General features: G+C 40.2%; 1 protein-coding gene and 1 long non-coding RNA gene across 7 annotated transcripts in view; both read left to right on the forward strand.

The window, feature by feature from the left end:
• C1QTNF7 (C1q and TNF related 7) overlaps nt 1-4,357 on the forward strand; it is a 106,382-nt gene extending 102,025 nt beyond the window's left edge. For all 6 annotated transcript variants that reach the window (XM_011513772.2, XM_047449566.1, NM_001135170.2 and 3 more), the window contains one exon: nt 358-4,357. In XM_011513772.2, coding sequence (XP_011512074.1) covers nt 358-989 — 632 coding nt within the window. In that variant the 3' untranslated portion in view covers nt 990-4,357. The remainder of the gene's footprint in view (nt 1-357) is intronic.
• A 159-nt stretch (nt 4,358-4,516) lies between these two features.
• LOC107986185 (uncharacterized) lies at nt 4,517-6,684 on the forward strand. Its single transcript, XR_001741392.1, has 2 exons — nt 4,517-4,551; nt 6,207-6,684. It is a non-coding gene; the product is annotated as an uncharacterized LOC107986185 (long non-coding RNA).
• The last annotated feature ends 769 nt before the right edge of the window (nt 6,685-7,453 follow it).

Genomic DNA, 7,453 nt, shown 5'->3' on the forward strand with positions numbered 1-7,453 from the left:
GGAGTTCAAGACCAGCCTGGCCAACATGGTGAAACCCAGTCTATACTAAAAATACAAAAAATTAGCTGGGCGTAGTGGCAGGCGCCTATAATCCCAGCTGCTTGGGAGGCTGAGGCAGGAGAATTGCTTGAACCCGGAAGGCGGAGGTTGCAGTGAGCCAAGATCATGCCACTGCACTCCAGCCCTGGTGATAGAGTGAGACTCCATCTCAAAAAAAAAAAAGTTTATTATTTAGTAGTACACTGTTAAATGTTGCCTGAAAAGACAAAGTTGGGATGTGCTGGGACCATGTAGGTATATTGTTTGTGATTATATCTTTTGAGGAACTATTAATCAAACTATATACTCTTTCTGAAGGTTTGAGAGGTAAGACTGGACCGCTAGGTCTTGCCGGTGAGAAAGGGGACCAAGGAGAGACTGGGAAGAAAGGACCCATAGGACCAGAGGGAGAGAAAGGAGAAGTAGGTCCAATTGGTCCTCCTGGACCAAAGGGAGACAGAGGAGAACAAGGGGACCCGGGGCTGCCTGGAGTTTGCAGATGTGGAAGCATCGTGCTCAAATCCGCCTTTTCTGTTGGCATCACAACCAGCTACCCAGAAGAAAGACTACCTATTATATTTAACAAGGTCCTCTTCAACGAGGGAGAGCACTACAACCCTGCCACAGGGAAGTTCATCTGTGCTTTCCCAGGGATCTATTACTTTTCTTATGATATCACATTGGCTAATAAGCATCTGGCAATCGGACTGGTACACAATGGGCAATACCGGATAAAGACCTTCGACGCCAACACAGGAAACCATGATGTGGCTTCGGGGTCCACAGTCATCTATCTGCAGCCAGAAGATGAAGTCTGGCTGGAGATTTTCTTCACAGACCAGAATGGCCTCTTCTCAGACCCAGGTTGGGCAGACAGCTTATTCTCCGGGTTTCTCTTATACGTTGACACAGATTACCTAGATTCCATATCAGAAGATGATGAATTGTGATCAGGACCAAGATCCCTGTGGTAAACACTCTGATTGAATCTGGGGTTCCAGAAGGTGGAACAAGCAGGAATGGGATCCAAAGAGACTCCCACTCAGATTCTAAAGCATTTAAAGACAATTCTAGCAGAATTTATCAAAACAAGATGAAACACAGAAAAGTTGAAACCACAACAAAATGAATTCTATTAAAGAATAGCCCCAGATATAAATTCTCTTGAAAGCAATGTTCATAAATATTTAAGCAAATTAAAGACAATGTTAACAAATTTTCTATTAAATGCCCTGAGTGATAAAACCAGTTGGCAATAATATTGCCTTATTAAATCTTCAAAAAATATATTTTAGTCTGTTATTTAAGAAAAACATAACATCCCAAAATCTTTGACAATTCTCGAAAGGCTATATAGTAAGTCAAAAACCAAAGGTAAGAGATGCTAACTATTTTTCAAGCAAGCTACAGAGAAATGATAAATGTTTTTTGTTTTATTATTTATTCCTTCATGTTTGTATATATTCACTCAACAACCCTTTAATGAGCCTGTAAGGACCAGACACTGTGGCGCTGAATCAGATTTAATAATGAGTTAAGACAAAGCCCCTACCTATGGGCTAGTGTGTGGTGATCAAACTATCACAATTCAGTGTGATGAGCAGCATAGCAAACAGATGGATTTGAAGCTAAAAGCACACAGGGTCTGCTATTCCTGAGGCTGGGGGCCAGAGAAGCTTTTACGCATGGAAAAACACTAATCATGCCAAGGTGTATGTGTTTAAGGGGGTGTGATGGATGCAAAGGGAATGAGGAATTCAGCACTGCATTCTCTTTGCACCCTCAATGCATGATTGGTATTCTCAACAGCAAAGGGGTGAAAAATCTAGAGACAGAGGAGGCCTGGCAGGGGTGATAAAAATGGAGATTGAAATGAAGAGAAATAGCCAGCAGGTGATTCTTCTGAATCCTTTAGTGTGATGGTTTCCCAAGACAAACATTTGTCCTAATAGCTTTCTCATAAATATGGGCACCACTTTACATTGTGGTAAGACATTGCTTCTCATGGATCTGCTAGGTATTTATTTCAAATAAAGCAAGGCATATGTTCACTGATTTACGAGTAAGCTGATGAGAGCAATGAACAGGAGAAGGAGGGAGAGAGCCAAATGTCTGAGTAAACAGATATCCCTTCCAAGTCTCACACCTCCCTTAGTCCCACTCTTGCTTGTGTCAGCACCTTGTTCTTCACTGAACTGCAATTCTTCAATTATTCTCTTCCATGATTTTGTCTGATCTACCATTTCTATGGTTTATGGTAATAGTATTCCCTTTATCCCTCCCTTTTGGTAACTTCCAATCCTCCTTCTATGTATTCCTTTCTCTGCTCATTGACTTATAAATAGTTTTCATACCTCTTATGTTTGAATCACCATGCTAGATTCTGTGAAGACAGAAGAGTATCAAGATTAATATATTAATAGTATAGCTCTGACTGGTAAATTTCTTTTTTTTAATCTTCCCCAATTTAAATTTTTTAATTTAAAAGTAAATTTTACTGTCGAAAATGCAAACTTGGGGAGGGCGGAAACATCACACACAAGGTTTCCACTTCACACTTGGAGGGTTGCATGGCGGCTGGGCAAAGGTGCTCCCCACTTCCCAGATGGTGCGGCGGCTGGCCAGAGGCACTCTTCACTTCCCAGACAGAGGGGCGGCCGGGCAGAGGTGCTCCTCACTTCCCAGAGGGTGCAGGAGCCAGCTCTGACTAGTAAATTTCTAAGGATACCAGAAAGGAAATGGCATGCACACACACAAAAAATACCTAAATTTTGGATGAGAAAATGATAAAATATGCTAAGTTCTAGGCTGGAAATAAGGGCAAAATGCTGTGAAAGAAGAGGAAATGTTTACTTCCAAATTAGGATGTGACAGAGAAGGGATAGGGAAATCCTCTCTGCTCATTGGGCCTTACATGATGGGTGACACTTGGAGTGGCACAAGTTGGGGGAAAGCGCACTTGAGACAGAGGTAATGATGGGGACGAAGTGAGAACAGAGACCCAGAAGGAGAATCAATGGACCATATTTGTAAGAGCTTTGAAAGCCAGCCTGAGAATTGGAGGATTTATTCATAAGAAAGTGTAGAGACCCTGTGTATTTCAGAGCTGGATACTGCCATTACCACAGATGAAAGTTGCAATGATCTAGCAGTTGTGTGCAAAGGCAAGGCTTGCTTTTCCTGTCTTTCAACCCTATCTTGCTTTTCCTGTCTTTCAACCCTATCTTGCTTTCATTGTCTTCATCTTCCTGCCATACTTTGTGCACTTATTGCTCTCCTTCTGAGTCAGGACATGTGTACAGGAGACCAAGAACAATGAGTATTAGAAAAAAAGGAGACAGCAAAGGTGGTTTGAGGTAGTCACCTGCTTACAGATAACAGCCAAAGATAGAATTCCAAGTTATAAAGCATAAAAAAGAGCCAACAGAAGTAACTAATCCGGGAAAAGTGAACATATGGGCCCTTTAAAGACTACAAGATTTGCTAGATAAACTGGAAATGGAGAAGTTATTGCAGACAGTCATGAACCACAAATCACTGTGATTAAAATTTTCTTCTGATCGTAATCCACGAATGCATTCATTTTTTGGACATTGCTTACTTATCTTTTAAATGTTTCTTTTATTACAAAGCCTATTTTGAGTAGCTTTTAAAACTGAATTTCCTTTAATTGGTTTGAAGCCTAGAGATGAATTTCGTTTTCAAATATCTGGTGGGATGGTAATGGGGATTAGAGAACTGACATGAGAAAAGAGGAGCTGTTTTGGTATTAAACGAATAAAATCTTAAGCAAATATAGGTGTCTTTTATTCTTAAAAAATAGCAGATACAGTTTATCCACATTTGTAAATATTTGTATAAAGAAAGTAGCAAAACAGTTTTGGTTTAAAAAGTTCCAAGTCTCATTGCAATCATTCTTTGTAAAGGCTGACTTGTAATGAATATGTATTAAGCAATATTTATTGACTATACACCATCTTGTTCTAGAAGAGTTTAAAGCCACTTAAGAAGATAAATAAGATATAAAAAGAAAACAGCAGTCAAAAGCAGATGAGAAGAAATGGGAAAAACAAAAAAAAAAGAAAATAATGAGGCTAATATAATGCTGTGTGTACATGAACATGAATGTGCCTGTGTTACACATTTTCAGGCCACAAATGTTTCTTTGTGCCCCTGCATGCACAAGGGTATTTCCAGGTCATTTATCATTGTGAACAGTGTTGCTTATGATAAAAAATAGATTCTATAAACTCTAAATATACTTTTTTTCTACCACTCTGTGTAAAAGATCATGAACGTAAATAAATTTTAGATATGAGCTGGGTTAGTCCATTTGCATTGCTATAAAGGAATACCTGAGGGTGGGTAATTTATAAAGAAAAGAGGTTTATTTTGGCTCACAGTTCTGCAGGCCATACAAGCAGCATGGTGCCAGCATCTGCTTCTGGTGCAGCCTCAGGAAGCTTCCAATCATGGTGGAAGATGAAGAGGGCACCACCATCCTATCACATGGTGAGAGAGGGATCAAGAGAGTGGGGGGGAGGTGTCACACTCTTTTAAGCAACCTGATCTCACATGAACTCATTAGCATGAGGACAGCACCAAGCCATTCATGAGGGATCCACCCCCATGACCAAAATTCCTCCCACTAGGCCCACCTCCAACATTGGGAGTCATAGATCAACATGAAATTTGGAAGGGACAAAAACATCCAAACCACATCATTAGGTTTCTCTCTTTGTCTCTCTCTCTCTCTGTAGCTCCACTTTCAGTAAATAGCATCTCTACCCACCCTGTACCAAAGTCAAAACCGTAAGGTGCAAACTAAATGTCTTTCCTCCCTTCCCTACTGAATTTTGCCCAGCATAAAATTCTTATGGTTCCAGCCACTAAATGCACATATCTGATTCATTGCACCTTTCCATTCCCGGTGCAAAAGGTGTCATTCATACATTCATCATCACTTCCCTTAATCAGTGAAAAACGTTGTAACTGGCCCTTTGCCTCCAACCACAACCCTCCAATCCATCCTCCACACTAGATTGAGTATATCCTTTTAAAATGAAAATGTGCATGCCATTTCCCGGCTTAAAAAACAGCAATGACCCTCCCAATCCCTCCGCTATAAAAGGTGTTTTGAACTTCTATAAGTTTTGCCATCAGGTGTGTATTTCATATTGTTTTCTGGTATCCATACCTAAATTCCTTCTGAAGGACTATCTTCCTTTACGTGCTAAGTCTATGAGCTTCTCAGTGGAACTGACACTTCCAGTATGTAAATCTCTAGCCTAACTCATCAGAGTATAGCATCCCACTCACCAAAATAATTGATTCAGGTGACTCTATGAGAGTCAATGAAACTTTGCTGGGACATCTATAGAAGAGAATCTCCTTCTTTTCTGTTGGACTTAAGCCTGTGAACCTCCACCAGCCACATTACCACCACAGAGCATAATACCATGCAAGAATAGACCCATGCACAGATGAAGCAGAGAGACAAAGAGAGAAAATGGGTCTTGGAGTCATCATTTGAACCCCAATCTAGACATATCTATAGCCAGCTGTTCCCTTGGACTTTTCAATTATGGAAACTGTTAAATGCTGTTTTTACTTAAGCCCTTTGATTATTTGATCACTTGGAAAAGATGTTATCCTACCTAATACTCATAAAAGCATCGTTTAGCATGGTGCATTGAGCCCTTGAGGATGTAGCTTCTGCAAACTTTTACAGTCACATCTTCAAAAGTCACCCACGTGTAACTATTATCCAAGAATATGCAGATAACTGCAATTCTAGGGTACTTTGCCCTAGGGTGCCTCACCTTTTCAGGTTCAGCTCAAAAGTTACTTTCTTTTCTCTAATCTTTCCCTTCCCCTGTGCCTAAGGAGAATTACAGATGACCACGTGTGTGTTCCTTGCCATCTGGGAACCAGTGCATAGTCATGGTAGCAATAGCAAACACTTACTGGGCACTTTTTGAGTGGTTTACATGTATCAGCTCACTTGGTCCTTGCTACGGTCTGCATGTTTGTGTAGCCTCAAAAGTCATATGTTGAAACCTAATCACCAGTGGGATGGTGTTAGAAAGTGGGGCCTTTGGGAAGTAATTAAGTCATGAAAGACCTACCCTCATAAATGGGACTTATGCCCTTATTTTTTATAAAAGGCCCCAAAGACCTCCTTTCAACACATGAAGACACAGTGAGAAGATGGCCATCTATGAATGGGGAAGCAGGCCCTCGCCAGGCATCAAATCTGCTGGCACCTTGATCTTACTTTCCAGCCTCCAAAACTGTAAAATAAATTTCTGTTGTTCATAATCTATGCAGTTTTTGGTATTTTATTATAGTAGCTCAAATGGATTAAGACAGTCCTCACAACAATTATTCACCTCATTTTACAGATGGATAAACTGAGAGGCAGAGAGGTTATGAAATATGTGAAGCAAATAGTAAGTGGCACAGTAGCCCTAGGCAGTGAAGCGCCAAAGCCCACTCTCTTAACCACCGTGCTGGCACATTGCTCATATATTTTTTACATTTGTCTATCTGATGGAGAGTTTGTTTGCCCTATTGATTTTTATATCCCAGGACTCTACATGATGACTGCTATAGTATGTGCTCAATAAAATTATGATGAATTAATTAGTGACAAGTTCTTTTCAGTCACAATCTACACATGTGGTCAGAGTCAAATGGGGGAGGTGTCACAACAGGAAAATCCTATTATCATCTTGTACATTAATCAATATTATTTAGATTATAACTGCCAGACTCCAATTCAACATGGTTCAAGTAAAAGGAAACTCACTGAAATAACAAAAATCCCAGAGCCAGACCTGGGTACCCAAACAATGTCACCAGGGTCTTATCTCTCTCCCTCCTACAGAGCAGCTCCCCACATTGCTGGCTTCACTTTCAGGAAGGGTATTGCCTTTATTTATTGCAAAGATGGCCACCAGCAACTCAGGTTTGCATTTTGCAGTCCGAGCAGGGGGAAGAAAATTATCTTTCTCAATAATTCCCATGAAATACCTGGAAATGACAGCCTTTTGATTCTGAATGGTTCTACTTGAATCATGAGCCTATCCCTCAACCAACAATTGGCCAAGGAAATGTGATGTTGCCATTGACCAGGCTTACATCACAACCCAGCACTAGAGCTCAAAGAAAAATCCATCTCATCTAAATCACATGGACAGAGGTGGTAGGAGGAGGAAGAAATTATTTCCCAAAGGAAAATGAAGATTTCAGGTCAAGAAAAAGAGAGATTAATTAATTGGCAGACAAAATTAACTAGAGATTTCCTAAGCTGTTTTCATATAAAATCAAAACCACATTTATTTTGTCTGCATGATGCAAAATAAACGTGTTGCTAGAATGATTTTTCCCTGAAATAATCTAATTTTTGATA

This window comes from Homo sapiens, chromosome 4 (genome assembly GCF_000001405.40).
Source record: "Homo sapiens chromosome 4, GRCh38.p14 Primary Assembly".
NCBI classification, from domain to species: domain Eukaryota; kingdom Metazoa; phylum Chordata; class Mammalia; order Primates; family Hominidae; genus Homo; species Homo sapiens.